General features: G+C 39.0%; 1 protein-coding gene and 1 pseudogene across 6 annotated transcripts in view, besides 2 other annotated features; one reads left to right on the top strand and one right to left on the bottom strand.

The window, feature by feature from the left end:
- Positions 1-2,023, top strand: part of REXO6P (RNA exonuclease 6, pseudogene) — a 37,110-nt pseudogene extending 35,087 nt beyond the window's left edge. Inside the window, exons 16-17 of the transcript NR_026679.1 lie at positions 197-317; positions 1,945-2,023. The product of NR_026679.1 is annotated as an RNA exonuclease 6, pseudogene (transcript). The remainder of the gene's footprint in view (positions 1-196; positions 318-1,944) is intronic.
- Positions 7,386-7,886: an enhancer, noted in NCBI's record as "NANOG-H3K4me1 hESC enhancer chr9:27239819-27240319 (GRCh37/hg19 assembly coordinates)". NCBI's record gives its function as "activates a minimal SCP1, AML or CMV promoter by ChIP-STARR-seq in naive H9 embryonic stem cells {active_cell/tissue: H9 hESC(naive)}" and the evidence as "EXISTENCE:reporter gene assay evidence [ECO:0000049][PMID:30033119]".
- Positions 7,887-8,387: an enhancer, noted in NCBI's record as "NANOG-H3K4me1 hESC enhancer chr9:27239318-27239818 (GRCh37/hg19 assembly coordinates)". NCBI's record gives its function as "activates a minimal SCP1, AML or CMV promoter by ChIP-STARR-seq in naive H9 embryonic stem cells {active_cell/tissue: H9 hESC(naive)}" and the evidence as "EXISTENCE:reporter gene assay evidence [ECO:0000049][PMID:30033119]".
- TEK (TEK receptor tyrosine kinase) overlaps positions 17,533-21,700 on the bottom strand; it is a 120,950-nt gene continuing 116,782 nt past the window's right edge. For all 5 annotated transcript variants that reach the window (NM_000459.5, NM_001290077.2, NM_001290078.2 and 2 more), the window contains 2 exons: positions 19,402-19,501; positions 17,533-18,549 (listed from right to left, as the gene is read on the bottom strand). In NM_000459.5, coding sequence (NP_000450.3) covers positions 18,475-18,549; positions 19,402-19,501 — 175 coding nt within the window. In that variant the 3' untranslated portion in view covers positions 17,533-18,474. The remainder of the gene's footprint in view (positions 18,550-19,401; positions 19,502-21,700) is intronic.

Below are 21,700 nucleotides of genomic sequence, written 5' to 3'. Positions count from 1 at the left end.
TTACTCTGCAAAGTACAGCAGGATAAACTATGCAATATACTTAGTCCAGTAACTGACACATCACGACTGTTGCCTGTTCTTGTATCATAGTCCTTGTTCCTAAGTAGTTATTGCTGCTATCAGCATCCTTATTTTGGAGTTTTTACTTTTATTTGAAAGTTAAAGGTGTTTTTTTTTTTTTACTTTTATTTGATAGTTAATTCACACTTCAGTTGTGGACATATCGGTTATGTTTCCTCATCAGCTTGGCTTGCCTCCCAAAAGACCCCTTAGGAGTCTAATGGCTGATTGCCTGCAGAGAATCGTTCAGGATGATGGTAAGAGCCCATTTGCTCATGACTGATGTCAAGACCCTCAGTCTGACTTGACTGAACAACAGTGAGGTTCATCATAAAGGTCTACTGTCTAAGATGCTTAAGGTAGGAGACCAGGTTCTTTTCTGGGGGTTCTCTCCTCTGGTGGAGAATCCTAAAGCATCTGCCTGTGCTTGTGTAAAAAACCATTATATGCCATTGCCTGGTATAGTCCTGGGTGTTCCTCATGAATCAGAACAGCAATCTCACTGAGAACAGTGGTCAGATCATTGGGTCTGGCCTTTGAATTCATGCACAGAACTTTTGTTGTTCCATTCTAAATCTTGCTGTATACCTCTTTTCATATGTGCTTCTCATTAGAACAAAAGAGGTTCTTTCTACATTTGATTGGGTCCAGGTTATCTCACCAAGAGAAAATTTGTGTGTGTGTGGGGTGGGGGGGGGGGTATGGCTCAAATTCAGTCATTATGTGTGAACTTGATTTATACCAGATTTGTATATCTTGCTGCCAATTTTTCTATTTCTGCTTTTTCTGATGAAATATACCCAATGTTAAACAAGTTAATCAAGTACAACAAATCTAGCCACCAATTACCTGTTCGTGGCATTGCTATATGCACAGTTTCACCAGTGTCTGGCGTGGAATGGAGGATACCTGTATATTCATGTATGCCTATATAGGCCCTTCCTGTGTACAAACAGTAGAGCAAGTTAACTTTAAATATGTTAAAATTATATTACGCTGCTTTGTTTCTAAAGATTCTCGAGATATGGATGTTCCTCTGATCATATCATTCATTATACAAAATGATTTCATTTTATGATGAACTTACACTCCTCTCCAGAGAATCTTTTACATCCTCTGCTTTGTTAAGAATACTCATTTCAGAAAGAATTCCCATAACATTCTATTATAGAATTTGTAGGGCCTTCTGTTGAAAATAATCTTGAACCATGGTCATAATCTTTCAGTTAACAAATCTGTTTAAAACAAAATCTTCTAAAAGTTAAAAAAATATCAGAGCTTTCTTGGGGTAAGACACAAGTAAAGAAATGAAAACTATTACACCATTTTAGAAGCATTGACCATACGACTTTCTCACCCAATCTCAGATATCATTTATTATTCTCACCAGAACTATACAGCTTTATGTTTTGGGTAAATTTTATCTACTTTTTAAAACCATATAAACTTGTGCCTAAAGTTGTTCTTTTATTTAGAGAGATTACTTTTTTTTTTCTTTTTTTAACCATTCGACATTTCTGGCTTCTAGGCAGATGTCTTGCTTTGGTGATCCCTCCACTTTCTTCTCATACCTCCCTGGGAAGGAGATACACAGCTGAGGGTACCGATGTGCTAGCCAATCATTGCAAGGTAGTGATAATGTGACAGAGGAAAGACTACCTAGAAAAAGAACAATGTTTGTTAATCTAGTACATTCATGTAAAACATTTATAAAGCAATCATTGGAGGTTGTATTAGGTATTAATGATATTTCGATAGGTGAGCAGTGTTAACTTTGTTAGAAACATAAATTGAAGGCTTAATTTTGAGAAATATGTAAGTAACATCAGAGATTATGGTTGTCTTATGTCTAACACTTTAAAAAATATTCTGTACTATTTGGAGGTCACAATGCTAGTGAAAATGCAAAAGCCTGCATGGATCTGGTCATTTGGAAGGTAAAAGAAGACGTGAAAGGAAAGAAGTAGTCACCTTGCCCAAGAACATCTTTAATTTCTGAATTGCTGTTTCGGTGACTTCTCTGGCCCCTACTACTGGCAGTAGAGTTTGGTCGATGATGGTATGGGGTTTCTGGACACTTTCAAAGAGAAGAAGAGGAAAAGCGCTGTTGAGGTTGAGTTACTACATTTTTTTATTACACTTTAAGTTTTAGGGTACATGTGCACAACGTGCAGGTTAGTTACGTATGTATACATGTGCCATGTTGGTGTGGTGCACCCATTAACTCGTCATTTAACATTAGATATATCTCCTAATGCTATCCCTCCCCCTGCCCCCACCCCACAACAGGCCCCGGTGTGTGATGTTCTCCTTCCTGTGTCCATGTGTTCTCATTGTTCAATTCCCACCTATGAGTGAGAACAGGCGGTGTTTGGTTTTTTGTCCTTGTTATAGTTTGCTGAGAATGATGGTTTCCAGCTTCATCCATGTCCCTACAAAGGACATGAACTCATCATGTTTTATGGCTGCATAGTATTCCATGGTGTATATGTGCCACATTTTCTTAATCCAGTCTATCATTGTTGGACATTTGGGTTGGTTCCAAGTCTTTGCTATTGTGAATAGTGCCTCAATAAACTTACATGTGCATGTGTCTTTATAGCAGCATGATTTATAATTCTTTGGGTATATACCCAGTAATGGGATGGCTGAGTCAAATGGTATTTCTAGTTCTAGATCCCTGAGGAATCACCACACTGACTTCCACAATGGTTGAACTAGTTTACAGTCCCACCAACAGTGTAAAAGTGTTCCTTTTTCTCCACATCCTCTCCAGCACCTGTTGTTTCCTGACTTTTTAATGATCGCCATTCTAACTGGTGTGAGATGGTATCTCATTGTGGTTTTGATTTGCATTTCTCTGATGGCCAGTGATGATGAGCATTTTTTCATGTGTCTTTTGGCTGCATAACGTCTTCTTTTGAGAAGTGTCTGTTCATATCCTTTGGCCACTTTTGGATGGGGTTGTTTGTTTTTTTTCTTGTAAATTTGTTTGAGTTCATTGTAGATTCTGGATATTAGCCCTTTGTCAGATGAGTAGATTGCAAAAATTTTCTCCCATTCTGTAGGTTGCCTGTTCGCTCCAATGGTAGTTTCTTTTCCTGTGCAGAAGCTCTTTAGTTTAATTAGATCCCATTTGTCAATTTTGGCTTTTGTTGCCATTGCTTTTGGTGTTTTAGACATGAAGTCCTTGCCCATGCCTATGTCCTGCATGGTATTGCCTAGGTTTCCTTCTAGGGTTTTTATGGGTTTAGGTCTGACATTTAAGTCTTTAATCCATCTTGAATTAATTTTTGTATAAGGTGTAAGGAAGGGATCCAGTTTCAGCTTTCTACATATGGCTAGCCAGTTTTCCCAGTACCATTTATTAAATAGGGAATTGTTTCCCCATTGCTTGTTTTTGTCAGGTTTGTCAAAGATCAGATGGTTGTAGATATGCGGCGTTATTTCTGAGGGCTCTGTTCTGTTCCGTTGGTCTATATCTCTGTTTTGGTAACAGTACCATGCTGTTTTGGTTACTGTAGCCTTGTAGTATAGTTTGAAGTCAGGTAGTGTGATGCCTCCAGCTTTGTTCTTTTGGCTTAGGATTGACTTGGCAATGAGGGCTCTTTTTTGGTTCCATATGAACTTTAAAGTAGTTTTTTCCAATTCTGTGAAGAAAGTCATTGGTAGCTTGATGGGGATGGCATTGAATCTATAAATTACCTTGGGCACTATGGCCATTTTCACATTGTTGATTCTTCCTACCCATGAGCATGGAATTGTTCTTCCATGTATTTGTATCCTCTTTTATTTCATTGAGCAGTGGTTTGTAGTTCTCCTTGAAGAGGTCCTTCACATCCCTTTTGAGTTGGATTCCTAGGTATTTTATTGTCTTTGAAGGAATTGTGAATGGGAGTTCACTCATGATTTGGCTCTCTGTTTGTGTGTTATTGGTGTATAAGAATGCTTGTGATTTCTGCACATTGATTTTGTATACTGAGACTTTGCTGAAGTTGCCTATCAGTTTAGGGAGATTTTGGGCTGAGACAATGGGGTTTTCTAGATATACAATCATGTCATCTGCAAACAGGGACAATTTGACTTCCTCTTCTCCTAACTGAATACCCTTTATTTCTTTCTCCTGCCTGATTGCCCTGGCCAGAACTTCCAACACTATGTTGAATAGGAGTGGTGAGAGAGGGCATCCTTGTCTTGTGCCAGTATTCAAAGGGAATGCTTCCAGTTTTTGCCCATTCAGTAAGATATAGGCTGTGGGGTTGTCATAGACAGCTCTTATTATTTTGAGATACATCCCTTCAATACCTAATTTATTGAGAGTTTTCAGCATGAAGGGTTGTTGAATTTTGTTAAAGGCCTTTTCTGCATCTATTGAGATAATCATATGGTTTTTGTCGTTGGTTCTGTTTATATGCTGGATTACGTTTATTGATTTGCTTATGTTGAACCAGCCTTGCATCCCAGGGATGAAGCCCACTTGATCATGTTGGATAAGCTTTTTGATGTGCTGCTGGATTCGGTTTGCCAGTATTATATTGAGGATTTTTGCATCAATGTTCATCAGGGATATTGATCTAAAATTCTCTTTTTTTGTTGTGTCTCTGCCAGGCTTTGGTATCAGGATGATGCTGGCCTCATAAAATGAGTCAGGGAGGATTCCCTCTTTTTCTGTTGATTGGAATAGTTTCAGAAGGAATGATACCAGCTCCTCCTTGTACCTCTGGTAGAATTCGGCTGTGAATCCATCTGGTCCTGGACTTTTTTTGGTTGGTAAGCTATTAATTATTGCCTCAATTTCAGAGCCTGTTACTGGTCTATTCAGAGATTCAACTTCTTCCTGGTTTAATCTTGGGAGGGTGTATGTGTCGAGGAATTTATCCATTTCTTCTAGATTTTCTAGTTTATTTGCATAGAGGTGTTTATAGTAGTCTCTGATGGTAGTTTGTATTTCTGTGGGATTGGTGGTGATATCCCCTTTATCATTTTTTATTGCATCTATTTGATTCTTCTCTGTTTTCTTCCTTATTAGTCTTGCTAGCGGTCTATCAATTTTGTTGATCTTTTCAAAAAACCAGCTCCTGGATTCATTGATTTTTTTGAAGGCTTTTTTGTGTCTCTATTTCCTTCAGTTCTGCTCTGATTTTAGTTATGTCTTGCCTTCTGCTAGCTTTTGAATGTGTTTGCTCTTGCTTCTCTAGTTCTTTTAATTGTGGTGTTAGGGTGTCAATTTTAGATCTTTCCTGCTTTCTCTTGTGGGCATTTAGTGCTATAAATTTCCCTCTACACACTGCTTTGAATGTGTCCCAGAGATTCTGGTATGTTGTGTCTTTGTTCTCATTGGTTTCAAAGAACATCTTTATTTCTGCCTTCATTTCGTTATGTACCCAGTAGTCATTCAGGAGCAGGTTGTTCAGTTTCCATGTAGTTGAGCTGTTTTGAGTGAGTTTCTTAATCCTGAGTTCTAGTTTGATTGCACTGTGGTCTGAGAGACAGTTTGTTATAATCTCTGTTCTTTTACATTTGCTGAGGAGTGCTTTACTTCCAAGTATGTGGTCAATTTTGGAATAGGTGTGGTGTGGTGCTGAAAAGAATGTATATTCTGTTGGTTTGGGGTGGAGAGTCCTGTAGATGTCTATTAGGTCTGCTTGGTGCAGAGCTGAGTTCAATTCCTGGACACCCTTGTTAACTTTCTGTCTCGTTGATCTGTCTAGTGTTGACAGTGGGGTGTTAAAGTCTCCCATTATTATTGTGTGGGTGTCTAAGTCTCTTTGTAGGTCTCTAAGGATTTGCTTTATGAAACTGGGTGCTCCTGTATTGGGTGCATATAGATTTAGGATAGTTAGCTCTTCTTGTTGAATTGATCCCTTTACCATTATGTAATGGCCTTCTTTGTCTCTTTTGATCTTTGTTGGTTTAAAGTCTGTTTTGTCAGAGACTAGGATTGCAACCCCTGCCTTGTTTTGTTTTCCATTTGCTTGGTAGATCTTCCTCCATCCCTTTATTTTGAGCCTATGTGTGTCTCTGCACGTGAGATGGGTTTCCTGAATAAAGCACCCTGATGGGTCTTGACTCTTTATCCAATTTGCCAGTCTGTGTCTTTTATTTGGAGCATTTAGCCCATTTACATTTAAGGTTAATATTGTTATGTGTGAATTTGATCCTGTCATTATGATGTTAGCTGGTTATTTTGCTCATTAGTTGATGCAGTTTCTTCCTAGCCTTGATGGTCTTTACGATTTGGCATGTTTTTGCAGTGGCTGGTACTGGTTGTTCCTTTCCATGTTTAGTGCTTCCTTCAGGAGCTGTTTTAGGGCAGGCCTAGTGGTGATAAAATCTCTCAGCATTTGCTTGTCTGTAAAGGATTTTATTTTTCCTTTACTTATGAAGCTTAGTTTGGCTGGATATGAAATTCTGGGTTGAAAATTCTTTTCTTTAAGAATGTTGAATATTGGTCCCCACTCTCTTCTGGCTTGTAGAGTTTCTGCCGAGAGATCAGCTGTTAGTCTGATGGGCTTCCCTTTGTGGGTACCCTAACCTTTCTCTCTGGCTGCCCTTAACATTTTTTTCCTTCATTTCAACTTTGGTGAATCTGACTATTATGTGTCTTGGAGTTGCTCTTCTCGAGGAGTATCTTTGTGGTGTTCTCTGTATTTCCTGAATTTGAATGTTGGCCTGCCTTGTTATATTGGGGAAGTTCTCCTGGATAATATCCTGCAGAGTGTTTTCCAACTTGGTTCCATTCTCCCCATCACTTTCAGGTGCACCAATCAGACATAGATTTGGTCTTTTCACATAGTCCCATATTTCTTGGAGGCTTTGTTCATTTCTTTTTATTCTTTTTTCTCTAAACTTCTCTTCTTGCTTCATTTCATTCATTTGATCTTCCATCACTGATACCCTTTTATCCAGTTGATCGAATTGGCTAGTGAGGCTTGCGCATTCATCACATAGTTCTCGTGCCTTGGTTTTCAGCTCCATCAGGTCCTTTAAGGACTTCTCTGCATTTGTTATTCTAGTTAGCCATTTGTCTAATTTTTTTTCAAGGTTTTTAACTTCTTTGCCATGGGTTTGAACTTCCTCCTTTAGCTTGGAGTAGTTTGATCGTCTGAAGCCTTCTTATCTCAAGTCATCAAAGTCATTCTCCGTCTAGCTTTGTTCCGTTGCTGGTGAGGAGCTGCGTTCCTTTGGAGGAGGAGAGGTGCTCCGATTTTTAGAGTTTCCAGTTTTTCTGCTCTGTTTTTTCCCCATCTTTATGGTTTTATCTACCTTTGGTCTTTGATGATGGTGATGAACAGATGGGTTTTTGGTGTGGATGTCCTTTCCGTTTGTCAGTTTTCCTTCTAACAGTCAGGACCCTCAGCTGCAGGTTTGTTGGAGTTTGCTGGAGGTCCACTCCAGACCCTGTTTGCCTGAATATCAGCAGTGGAGGCTGCAGAACAGCAGATATTGGTGAACAGCAAATGTTGCTGCCTGGTCGTTCCTCTGGAAGTTTTGTCTCAGAGGAGTACCCAGCCATGTGAGGTGTCAGTCTGCCCCTACTGGTTGTTGCCTCCCAGTTAGGCTACTCGGGGGTCAGGGACCCACTTGAGGAGGCAGTCTGTCCGTTCTCAGATCTCCAGCTGCGTGCTGGGAGAACCACTACTCTCTTCAAAGCTGTCAGACAGGGACACTTAAGTCTGCAGAGGTTTCTGCTGCCTTTTGTTTGGCTGTGCCCTGCCCCCAGAGGTGGAGTCTACAGAGGCAGGCAGGCCTTCTTGAGCTGCTATGGGCTCCGCCCAGTTTGAGCTTCCTGGATGCTTTGTTTATCTACTCAAGCCTCGGCAATGGCAGGCGCCCCTCCCCCAACCTCGCTGCCACCGTGCAGTTTGATCTCAGACTGCTGTGCTAGCAATGAGCGAGGCTCCGTGGGTGTAGGACCCTCTGAGCCAGGCTCGGGATATAATCTTCTGGTGTGCCGTTTGCTAAGAGTGTTGGAAAAGCGCAGTATTAGGGTGGGAGTGACCTGATTTTCCAGGTGCCGTCTGTCACCCCTTTCTTTGACTAGGAAAGGGAATTCCCTGACCCCTGGCACTTCCTTGGTGAGGTGATGCCTCGCCCTGCTTCGGCTCACGCTTGGTGTGCTGCACCCACTGTCCTGCACCCACTTTCCGACACTCCCCAGTGAGATGAACCTGGTACCTCAGTTGGAAATGCAGAAATCACCCGTCTTCTGCGTCGCTCATGCTGGGAGCTGTAGACTGGAGCTGTTCCTATTCAGCCATCTTGGCTCCACCCCCTGACTTACTATATTTTTAAAGGTTACATTTCCACAGTAATTTCTAAAATTGGGACTGAGCCAGGTGAACAGGACAAAGAGAAATAAAGTTGGTTTGAATTTTCAGCTCATCTTCAAAGTAGTGGAAGATGGTTTAGATTTGAAGCAATGAGTCTGTGACTTTCATGAGGATCATTTCTCAGGTTACCTCCATTTCTTTTTCCTCTGAGATACCTGAAACCATCATACTTCTTGAAGTTAAAAACATCTTTACCTAACAAAATTATAACAGATTTCTTTAGCTCTCGTATCCATAAATAGAAGTTGAGATTTTTCTCCCCCTCACAAAATATATGGAAGTAAATGTAAACTTCTCAGTGCACTCTGTTGACATAAAGGTTTTGGTCATTTGGCTATTGTGTAATGTGTTTTTATTCTAACTTGTGCAGTTACTTGATTTTTAATTCATAACAACTCACTGATTATTTAAGGCCGTCTAATATGGATCTTCTAAACACAGGAAGTTCTAGACTATATCCCTAGTACCTGAATTGTCTAATCTCTTTAGGGGGTTAGTTCTTTCCTGATAGAGATAGAGATAGAGAAATATAGAGATACATATAGAAATATATAGATATATATATAGAAATATATAGAGATACATACATATGTGTGTGTGTGTGTGTGTGTGTGTGTGTGTGTGTGTGTGTGTGTGTATGGCAGTGGGATCTGGATCTGTCTCTCAGGCTGGAGTGCAGTGGCATGATTATAGCTCACTGCAGCCTCAAGCTCCTGGGCTCAAGTAATTCTCCCACCTCAGCTTCCCAAGTAGCTGGGACCACAGGTATACTCACCATGCCCAGCTAGTTTTATTTTTTGTAGAGAAAGTCTTGCTATGTTGCGCAGGCTGTTCTCAAACTCCAGGACTCAGGTGATTCTCCTGCCTTGGCCTCCCAAAGTGCTGGGATTATAAGAATGAGCCACTGAGCCCAGCTTGGACCTATATTTTTTAACTGAAAAGTAAAAAAATTGTATATTTATGGTGAACAATGTGATATTTTGATATACATATGTACATTGTAGAATAACTAAATTTATTTAACATTTGCATTACCTCACATATTTTTTTGTGGTGAGAACACTTAAAATCTACTCTCCTAGCAATTTTCATGTATACAATATATTATTATTAACTGTAGTCACCATGATATACAATAGCTCTCCTAATCTTATTCCTTCAGTCTAACTGAAATTTTGTGTCCTTTGACCAACATCTCCAGTGGCCCTCACCCCCAGTCTCTGGTAACCACCACTTTACTCTCTGTTTCTGTGGTTTGACTGTTTTACACTTCTCAAGTGCATGAGATACTGCAGTATGCATCTTTTTTCTCCTGGCTTACCTTACTTAATATAATGTCCTCCAACTTCATTCATGTCACAAATGACAGGATTTCCTTTTTTTTAAAGGCTGAATAGTATTCCATTGTGTATATATACAACATTTTCTTTATCCATTCATTCACTGATGGACACCTAGGTTGATTCCATATCTTGGCTATTGTGAATAATGCAGCGAACATGAGCGTATAGACATTTCTTTGATATACTGATGTAATATCCTTTGAATATATATCAAGTAGTGGAATTGCTGGATCATATAGTAGTTCTATTTTTAACTTATTGAGAAACTGCCATACTGTTTTCCATAATGGCTATACTAATTTACATTCCCACCAACGGTGTGCAAGGATTCCCTTTTTTACACATCCTCATTAACACTTGTTATCGTTCTTTTTGTTAATAGCCCGTCTAACAAATGTGAGGTGAGAACTCATTGTGGTTTTAATTTGCATTATTCCGATTATTAGTGATGTTGAGCATTTTCTTCATATGCCTGTTGGTCATACGTATATCTTATTTTGTGAAATGATTTATTCAGGCCCTTTCTCTATTTTTTCAATTATTTGTTTTCTTACTATTGAGTTGTTTGCATTCCTTATGTATTTTGAGTATCAACTCTTATCAGATGGATGGTTTGCAAATATATTCTCCCATTTTGTAGGCTGTCTCTTCACTTTGTTGATTGTTTCCTTTGCTGTGAAGAAGCTTTTTAGTTTGATGGAATCCCATTTGTCTGGTTTTTCATTGCCTGTGTTTTTAGGGTCATATCCCAAAAATCTGCTCAGACCAATGTCATGGAGTTTACCCCGGTGATTACCTTAGTACCCCTAGAACTACTTCTAGTAGTTTTACAGTTTCTAGTCTTACATTTAAGTCTTCCATCCATTTTGAGTTGATTTTGTACGTGGTGTGAAATGGGGGGGTAATTTCATTCTTCTGCATATGAATATCCAGTTTTCCTAGCACAGTTTATTGAAGAAACTATTGTTTCCCCATTGTGTGTTCTTGGCATTTTGTTAAAAATTGACCACAAATGTGTAGATTTATTTCTGGACTCTCTATGTTGTTCCATTGGTTCATACGTCTGTTTTTATGTCAGTACCATACTGCTTTGATGACTATAGCTTTGTAGTAGATGTTGAAATCAACTAGATGCCTCCAGATTTGTCCTCTTGCTCAAGATTTCATTGGGTATTTGGGATCTTTTGTGGTTCCATACAAACGTTATGGTTGTCTTTTCTATTTCTGTGAAAAATGCCATTAGAATTTTGATAAGTATTGAATCTATGGATCACACTGGGTAGTATGAACATGTTAACAATATTAATTCTTACAGTCTGCGAATGTGGAAAATTATTTCATTTATTTGTGTCTTCTTTGATTTCTTTCATCAATGTTTTATGGTTTTCATTGTACAGATCTTTTACCTTTTGGGTTAAACTTATTCCTATTTAGTTTTTAGTAACTATTGTAAATGGAGTTTTATTTCTTTTTCAGATAGCTTGTTGTTAATAGATACACTACTGGTTTTTGTAGGTTGATTTTTGTATCTTGCAGCTTTACTGAGTTTATTTACACTAACAGGGTTTTTTGGTAGAGTCTTTAGAGTTTTCATTATATAAGATCATGTTGTCTGCAAACAGAGACAATTTAACTTCTTCCTTTCAGAACTGGATACCTTTTCTTTCTTTCTCTTGCTTAATTGCTTTGGCTAGGACTCCTAGTATTAGGTTCAATAGAAGTAGCAAGAGTGGGCATCCTTTTCTTGTTCCTGATCTTAGAGGAAAAATTTTCAACTTTTCACCATTGAGTATAATGTTAGCTAGGGGACTGTCCTATATGGTGTTTACTGGGTTAAGGTACATTCCTTTTTATACCAATTTTGTTGAGAATTTTTATCATGAAGAGATTTTGTTACATGGCTTTTCTACATGTATTGAGATGATCATATGGTTTTTGCACTTCTTTCTGTTAATGCCATGTGTCACATTTATTGATTTGCATATATTGACCCATCCTTGCAACCTAGGGATAAATTGCACTTAATTATGGTGAATCATGCTTTTAATGAGCTGTTGAATTTGGTTTGCTAGTTTTTTGTTGAAGATTTTTGCATCTGTGTTCACCAGGGATATTAGCCTATAATTTTCTTTTCTTGTAGTGTCCTTGTCTGGCTTTGGCATCATGAAATGAACTTGGAAGTTTTCCTTCCTTTTCAGTTTTTTTTGAAAGAGTTTGAGAAGAATTGGTATTATTTCTTCCCTAAATGTTTGATAGAATTCACCAGTGAAGGCATCAGGTGCTAGGCTTTTCTTTCATGGAAGATTTATTACTGACTCATAATCTTCTTACTGGTTATTGGTCTGCTCAGGTTTTCTATCTATTAATGATTCAGTCGTGGTAGGTGGTATGTATCTAGAAATGTGTCAATTTCTTCTAGATTATTTGTTGTCATATAGTTGTTCATATTAGTCACTTATGATTTTTCTTATTTCTGTAATATTTCTATCTATTCAGATCTATTAATATTTGCTTTATGTATTTAAGATGCTCTGACATTAGATGCATACATATTTACAGTTACTATATCTACTTGATAAATTGCTCTTTTTATTATATAATGACCTTGTTTGTCTCGTTTCACAGTTTTTGGCATAAAATCTATTTTATATAATAGAGACACTCCTGTTCTCTTCTCGTTTCTATTTGGACAGAATACCTTTTTCTATCCTTATACTCTTATTCTGTGTGTATCTTTAAAAGTGAAGTGAGTCTCTGTAGGCAGCACATAATTGGGTCTTATTTTTTTATTCAGCCAATCTATGTTTTTTAATTGGAGAATTTAACATTTACATTCAAGGTAATTATTGACATGTAAGGACTTACTATTGCCATTTTGTTAATTGTTTTCTCTTTGTTGTGTAGATCTTTTTCCTTTTTTCCTTAAGATGATTTTCTCTAGTGGTATGTGCTTTGATTTCTTACTTTTTTATCTTTTGTGTATCCTGTGTAGATTTTTGCTGGTGGTTACCTGGAGGCTTATATAAAAATCTTACAGTTATAATAGACTACTTTAAGCTGATAACAACTTAATTTTGATTGAATAAAGTAACTATTCTTCCACCCCCAACATTTTTTGATGTCATAATTTATATTTTTTATATTGCATATCCCTTAACAAATCATTGTAGCTGTTATTTGTGATAGTTTTCCATTTTAACATTCGTCCTAAAGATAGTGATTTACACACCACAATTACAGTATTATTCTGAATTTGTGTTTTAACTTTTGCCAATGACTTTCATATTTTCATGCTATTAATTTAGCAGCCTTTTCATTCAGCTTGAACTCTCTTTAGCATTTCTTATAAGTCAGATGTAGTGGTAATGAAATTCCTCAGCTTTTGTCTGGGAAAGTCTTTATTTCTTCATTTCTGAAGGACAGCCTTACCGGATACAGGATTCTTGGCTGACATTATTTTCTCTTCAGAACTTTGACTATATCATTCCACTCTCTCCTGGCCTGTAACATTTCTGCTAAGAAATTGGCTGCTAGTCTTATTGGAACTCCGTTACATATGTTAATCTTCTTTTTCCTTGCTGCTTTCAGGATCCTCTTTGTTTTTTGACAATTTGATTATAATATATCTTGCTGTAAATATTATTTGGATTGAATCTGCTTGTAGACTTTTGACGTTCCTGTACCTAAATATTTATCTTCCCCAAATTTGGAAAGTGTTATGCTGTTTATTTCTTAAATAAGCTTTCTACCCCTTTCTGTCTCTTCTCCTTCTTGAACTCTTATAACTCAAACATGTGCTCTTTTGATGCTGTCTCACAAATTCCATATGCATTCTTCATTACTTTTCATCCTTCCCCCCAACCCCATGACTACATATTTTCAAATCACATATTTGAATTCAAATTCTTTTGCTGCATCAATTCTGTTGTTGTTGTCTATCGCATTTTTCATTTCATTTATTTTTCAGCTCCAGAATGTTGGGGTTTTAAAATATAATTTCCATCTGTTAAATTTCTCATTTTGATTGTTTACTGTTTCCATGACTTTATTGAATCATTTCTCTGAACACTTTTGAAGTTTGCTGAGCTTTCTTAAAACAATTCTTTTGAATTCTTTATCAGGCAGTTTGTATATTTCTTTGGGGTTAGCTACTAGATTATTGTGCTCTTTTGGTGGTGTTGTGTCTGTTTTTTTTTTTTTCTTTTTATGTTTCTTGTTGCTTATGTTGATACCTGTGCATTTGGTGGAACAGTCACATTTGCAAAACTCATGGGCTAGTTTCACTGTGGAAAGACCTTCCTCTCCATGGAATATCAGACCATTTGCTGACTGTGGTGCAGTAGTTCTGGCACCAGTTCTGTCAGCAGAGGTTGGTGTTGACAAAGGTGGCAGGCCTCCTCAGTGGTCAACACTGTGGATGTCCACAGTGCCAGCAAGGGTTGTTGAGGTCTTCAGAGACAATGGCTGAGGAGATCCTCCTGATCTCTTTTCTCCCACTAGGGAAGTTATAGCTGAAAGGGTATGTCTTGGCACTGGGTCTGGTTTATGGGCTGTCTTGCAGTAGTGACAGTACCAGTATTTGAGTGGTACCTGTGGAACAGTCATGGAGCTGAGGCCTGAAACATGAGAACATGTGGAGAGTCTGTTGCTATGAGATCTGGGAATTAATGGCACTGGTGCCTGGGGCACAAGCAACCCTCCTACAGTAACAGTATGCAAGCCACAGATGCTCTGGAGCGGCTGGTAGAGACAAGAATGGGAGCACAGACACGCACAGTGTTAGAGAAGCTCCAGAGTCAGGGCAGGGCCTCGTTCTCTATGGTGACTGAGCTGTTGGCTTGAGGCACAAGCACCCTGTCTGTCATGTTGGTAGCAGCTTTGGGCTACAAATGCTTGTGAAGTAGCCAGGGAACCAAGAATGGAAGCACAGGTATACACAGAGTTAGCATGGCTCTAGGGTTAGGATGGAGCCTAGTTATCCATGCGGCTGAACTGGTGTGTAGAGTATGGACTCTAGGGCCCAGGGTACAAACTAGCTCACTATGGCAGTCGCTACAGTGTCTGAGACGAGGGTGGGCCCAATGCAGCCACAGAGCCTGAGACTGGAGCTTGTGGGCTCTTATGAAGTGGCTGCAGCCCCAAGATTGAGGTATGTACAGGGTTAGAAGAAATGGTGGCTCCTTTCTTAAAGTGTCTCAACAGCAACCACTTCTGGGGGTAGGGGTTTTTAGGGATGTGCATTTCCTTTTCTAAGGTTCTCCAGTGGGAATGACTATCTGATACCTCAGTGGCAGGAGATGCTGGTATCCTCTGTAAAGCAGGTCACTGTGACCACAGTAGTTCTGCTGTGTGGCTCATACCAAGGCCTCCACCTTTGTTCGTAGACATCTCCTGGTGTATTAAATATGCTGATCACAATCCTTTCTGTGTGATTATTCTCCATTATTGTGCTCCACTGTATTGCTGCATATCCTATAATGGGCCCTTGCACTCCCTCTGGGTTGTTTTGGTATGTGAATAGTTGTCTGTGTTTATTTATCTATTCTTTTTTTTTGTGGGAAGATAAAGACTGGTATCTCCTAGTATGCCCTCTTGGTGAAGACATGCTAGACCGATATTTCAGTGGCTTTTCATTCATGTTTCCATTTAGTTAAGTGTTATGTGAGCAGCCTTTATTTTGCTCTGTGTCTTTGCTTGAATATGCTGTTGGGAATAAAGAGTGTTCAGGATGAATTCAGTTGCCTAGTTGTAATTCCTGAATACATAAGAATATGTAAAGTTTGTGCAGCATGTAGAACTACAATATGTCCTCAATGTTCTCAATAGGTTCTTGGAAACTGACTTAAGTGAAATAATGTACTGTATGCTACAGACACTTAACTCTTGTCTCTTTCTTTATTATACTTTAAGCTCTGGGGTACATGTGCAGAACGTGCCGGTTTGTTACATAGGTATACACGTGCCATGGTGGTTTGCTGCACCCATCAATCTGCCATCTACATTAGGTACTTCTCCTAATGCTAGCCCTCCTCAAGAGGCCCCGCTGCGTGATGCCCACCTCCCCCACATCCCCCCATGTCCATGTGTTCTCACTGTTCAACTCCCACTTATGAGTGAGAACATGTGGTGTTTGGTTTTCTGTTCTTGTGTTGGTTTGCTGAGAATGATGGTTTCCAGCTGCATCCATGTCCCTAAGAAGGACATGAACTCATCCTTTTTTATGACTGCATAGGGTTCCATGGTGTGTATGTGCCACATTTTTTTTTATCCAGTCAATTATTGATGAGCATTTGGGTTGGTTCCAAGTCTTTGCTATTGTGAACAGTGCTGCAATAAACATACGTGTGCATGTGTCTTTATAGTAGAATGATTTATAATCCTTTGGGTATATACCCAGTAATGGGATTGCTGGGTCAAATGGTATTTCTGGTTCTAGATCCTTGAGGAATCGCCACACTGTCTTCCACAATGGTTGAACTAATTTACACTTTCAGCAGCAGTGTAAAAGCATTCCTATTTATCCATATCCTTTCCAGCATCTGCTGTTTCCGGACTTTTTAATGATCACCATTCTAACTGGCATGAGATGGTATCTCATTGTGGTTTTGATTTGCATTTCTCTCATGACCAGTGACGATGTGCTTTTTTTTTCGTGTTTGTTGGCTGCATAAATGTCTTCTTTTGAGAAGTGTCTGTTCATATCCTTTGCCCACTTTTTGATGGGGTTGTTTTTTCTTGTAAATTTGTTTAAGTTCTTTGTAGATTCTGGATATTAGCCCTTTGTCAGATGGCTAGATTGCAAAAATTTTCTCCCATTCTGTAGGTTGCCTGTTCACTCTGATGGTAGTTTCTTTTGCTGTGCAGAAGCTCTTTCGTTTGATTAGATCCCATTTGTCAATTTTGGCTTTTGTTGCCATTGCATTTGGTGTTTTAGTCATGAAGTCTTTGCCCATGCCTATGTCCTGAATGGTATTGCCCAGGTTTTCTTCTAGGGCTTTTATGGTTTTAGATCTTACGTTTAAGTCTTTAATCCATCTTGAGTTAATTTTTGTATAAGGTATAAGGAAGGGATCCAGTTTTCTGCATATGGCTAGCCAGTTTTCCTAACACCATTTATTAAATAGGGAATCATTTCCCCATTGCTTTTGTCAGGTTTGTCAAAGATCAGATGGTTGTAGATGTGTGGTGTCATTCCTGAGGCCTCTGTTCTGTTCCATTGGTCTATATATCTGTTTTGGTACCAGTACCATGCTGTTTTGGTTACTGTAGCCTTGTAGTATAGTTTGAAGTCAGGTAGCCTGATACCTCCAATTTTGTTCTTTTTGCTTAGGATTGTCTTGGCTATGTGGGCTCTTTTTTGGTTCCATATGAAATTTAAAGTAGTTTTTTCCAGTTCTATGAAGAAAGTCAATGGTAGCTTGATGGGGATAGCATCTCGTTTCTATGAGTTACTCTATGGTAAAATTGGTTTCACTACATAGTACTGCAGTTTCCACAAACCTATCAATGACATTGTGTGAGGACTTTATTTAACATTGTAACACAATTAAAAGGAATTCCAATTCTAAGCCCTTGGTTCACACTGGAACACTCCCAAAGGTGTACTGCCTGTTGCAAGAAAAAGAAATAAGCAGTAGAACACTTCTAGGAGACCTTTTCAATCTGATGAGCTTCAGATTCCGTAACTGGTGGAGTATACTCGCACTACTCTAGGTGCTAGGGATGGATAATTTAAACGATTTTTCTTTAAAGTATAATAAGGACATGTGGCAATAGCTATGAGACACACTCCTGGATGAGACGTGAGTAGGCAAGACATTTATTCACTCATGATATATCAGTGCAAAGTGTGCCTACAGTATACAAGGTAAACTCACAACTCATCAAAACTAAAACTTTTTACAATGTGCAATACATGTAGGGATATTAATTCAATATATAAATGTCACATGTCTCCCAAATGTCACCCAGGCTTTCTGTTATTTCTTAAAATATACAAGTCAATATTACCAGAGAAAAGAAAAGAAAATCCCATTATTTTATCCTAAACTTATGTATACTTCTCTAAAGATTCTTAGGCTTGTAAGCAATGAGATTTAAGTCTATTTTTAGATGTTAGCATCCTGGACTGACTTGCAGGCTGTGGAAACACAAGACAGAGTGGTCACATGACTAAATGAAACGGGACTGGCTGCTACAGGTGAGGGATAAAATTGAGAGAGAAGAATCTGATTTATATCACTTAGATTTTTCAGTGTCTTAAATATTAACCTATGACTTGTTAGAATTCATATAGTTCTCTCACTTAACCTGTACTATCAGGGTCATTGTTAGGTTTATTAACAATATTTTACTTTGACACAGGAAAACATTTAATAGCATTCAACATAAAGGTAAATATCAAAATATCTAGGACAACAATGAGTTATGCATTATACTAATTGTACTCACGCCTTCCTATGAAGTCCACATTTTTAAAAAAATATATTATTGCATATGAAACCACAAACAGGCATTCTGATTTCAGCCCATTCTTAAAACAGTATATACAGTCCTATTAGAGTCAGAGCATACTACATAGATCCATGCATGGGATCTACAGTGGTGAAGGTCCCAGGTGTACAGCACATATGTACACTTATATATCACATCCTTTGGCAGAGGCATGTTTTCTCAGCAGGTGTCAAGGGTCTCCCATGCCAGTGAAAGGGAAACAGAGGGTATACAGATGTTCTGTCCTAGGCCGCTTCTTCAGCAGAACAGTCAATTCCTGCATAAGTAAACTTCTCATAAAGCGTGGTATTCACGTAGGTCTGGAAGAATGAAAATGGTTCAGAGACATAGGCTGCTTTGATTCCACCTCTGCCAGCGGCAGTTACAGCAATACCTTGGTTTTCTTAGTTTGTTGCAACTCATATACTAAGCACTTGGGGGATACTTTTCTGTCCTCAGTCCCTCTGTTGTATTTGATGACTTTCTTCCTAAAATGCATCCCCTTGCGTTCTGCAAGTAAGATTTCATACTGTATCCTCAGTTTCTGAGCTTGCCTTTCTCACAGTGTCTTATTGGTACCTCCTAATGTGTTCAGCTTCCCTAGGGTTCCTTCTTCTGGGTTCCTTCCTCTGTCTGAATCTCATTTTCACATCTGTGTGATCTCACCTGCATCTCTAGTTGAATTACCACTTGGGTTTTGATGACTATTTCTTTAAACTGTGTTTACTTTTATTTTGACTCCCAGATCGGTACAGCCAACTTACTTCTAGAAATTTTTATGGAGTTCCTGACCCTCATTATAGTAACCTGCAGGTCAGGCTCTGTTGTCTACTTGCTGTGTGTCCTTGGTCAAGTCACCCACTTCTGAGTCTGTTTCTTCATCTATAAAATTAAAGGGTCAGGCTATATGACGAAAATTCCTTCCAACTCTAATAGGCTAATTCTGTATGTTATTCTAGTGTGTACGTGACTGTATCTTGTATAGAAATCTTATTTCCCCCCAAAATTGTAACTTCTTCAAAGTCGCGGGGGTGGAGGGACATCCTTTGTTTCTATAATACTTAGGGCCATGCCAAGAAGAACTTCTTCAATTATTTCAATGTTTTTTATGAACCACCCTGGGCACATCAGGTATTCCAATTAAAGATCTCCTGCCTGACTTTAATACTTACCTTTCGCTCCTCTAACATTCTGTTTAAGGACACCAATATCTGGGCAAATGATGGCCTCTCATAAGGCTTCTCCCGCCAGCATTGTCTCATTAGATCATACCTTCGAAAGCAAAGAATTAAAGGGTTAATTCTATAACTGTGCTTCAGTCCTAGGCACGGCAGGAAAAGAGAGGAGAGAATGAAGCCACCCAATGCATGGTTATGAAGCTTAACCAAAGTACAGCCCCTAGGAAGTTTCTATGAGGACTCCCACCTCCCTAAGCCAGTCTCATTTCAACTCCTCATAGATTTAGTTCCTACCCTCGGTACTGTTTCTGCAGGACCTTGGTCTCAGCTATTGCAATCATCTAGAAAGAACTGGGTATGTGTCTAGAGCAGCATTTGCCTTGGAATGCTGCATATTTCAAAATGTTAGTGTCTCTTAAAGGGCCCATGCTCAAACTTGTAAAATGCCACCCACATAAAGTCCCTTTAAGAGGCAGGACTTTTAGAAGCACTGTCATTAAAAACAAAAAAATGCCTGTTTAACCAGGTGCTATGGACTGAATGTTCATGCCACCCAAAAATCATGTGTTGAAACCATGTGATGGTGTTTGAAGGTAGGTCCTTTGGGAGGTGATCAGGTCATGAGGGTAGAACCCTCATGAATGGGATTCGTGCTCTTACACAAAAGGCCTCAAAGAGCTCTTTTGCCCCTAGTGCCACGTGAGGACACAGCAGAAAGATGGCCATCTATGAGCTAGGAAATGGCTCATGGCCACCAAATCTGCTAGCGCTTTGATCTTGGATTTCCCAGCCTTCAGAACTGTGAGAAATACATCTCTGTTGTTTATAAGCCACCATGTTTATGGTATGTTGTTACAGCAGCCGGAAATGACTAAGACAACAGGTTTAACACAAAGTTTCCAAAGTAATTGACCGCAGAACTCCTTTCCCCTTGCATCATGTATTTATATCTTGCACAACACGTGAAAACATAGTTTGGGAAACACTGACCTAAGACAGTGCTTACTCAGTTGTGCTCAGAACTACTCTGTTATTAAAATGCAGAATTCTGGAACCTGCCCTAAACTTACAGAATCAATGACTGACAGTGGGGACCAAGAGCCCACATGCTGAACAAATGACTCTGGGGAACCTTATGTGCATGGAAGGCTATCAACCATTGGCTTAGGGTGTCACAGATCCCAGAACAGCTTACACTTTAACATAAGTTTCTTAAAGACTAAAAAATCTTCTCACCCCTTATGAAGTGAATCTCAAAAGGTGGAATTTTAGGGACTGTCTAGTGATGGTCAACTATGTCCAGGTTTTTCCAGGATGGTATGTATGCTTCTTGCTCCAGTGAGATTAACACCCTCCTTCACTCTTAGAAGTAGCTCCATTTAGACAATAAATTATCTGCTCAACCTAGAGCCTTGCAGTCTTCAAACATGCCAGTTAGCTTCTACCACGGATAGTTCTGGGAATGCTGGTATCACTACAGTTCATTATTCTTACCCTTGGAATAAATCTTACTTTTGAAAGTAATCTTAGCAGAAGCAAGGTTCTAGGCAAGAAAATGTATCTTTATTTTTTTATTATTATACTTTCAGTTCTGGGATACATGTGGAGAACATGCAGGTTTGTTACATATGTATACAAGTGCCATGGTGGTTTGCTGCACCCATCAACCTGTCATCTACATTAGGTATTTCTCCTAATGCTATCCCTCCCCTAGCCCCCACCCCCCGATAGGCGTGTGATATTCCCCTCCCTGTGTCCATGTGTTCTCATCCTTAAACTCCAACTTATGAGTGAGAACATGCAATGTTTGGTCTTCTGTTCTTGTGCTAGTTTCCTGAGAATGTTGGTTTCCAGCTTCATCCATGTCCGTCCAAAGGACAAGAACTCATCCTTTCTTATGGCTGCATAGTATTCCATGGTGTATATGTGCCACGTTTTCTTTATCCAGTTTATCATTGATGGGCATTTGGGTTGGTTCCAAGTCTTTGCTATTGTGAACAGTGCTGCAATAAACATACGTGTGCATGTGTCTTTATAGTAGAATGATTTATAATCCTGTGGGTATATTCCCAGTAATGGGATGGCTGGGTCAAATGGTATTTCTAATTCTAGATCCCTGAGGAATCGCCACACTGACTTCCACAATGGTTGAGCTAATTTACACTCCCACCAACAGTGTAAAAGCATTCCTATTTCTCCACATCCTCTCCAGCATCTGTCATTTCCTGACTTTTTAATGATTGCTATTCTAACTGGTGTGAAATGGCATCTCATTGTGGTTTTGATATGCATT

This window comes from Homo sapiens, chromosome 9, assembly GCF_000001405.40.
Source record: "Homo sapiens chromosome 9, GRCh38.p14 Primary Assembly".
NCBI classification, from domain to species: domain Eukaryota; kingdom Metazoa; phylum Chordata; class Mammalia; order Primates; family Hominidae; genus Homo; species Homo sapiens.
The sequence above is the reverse complement of the archived record's forward strand: the minus strand, read 5'-3'. Positions and strand labels throughout refer to the sequence as shown.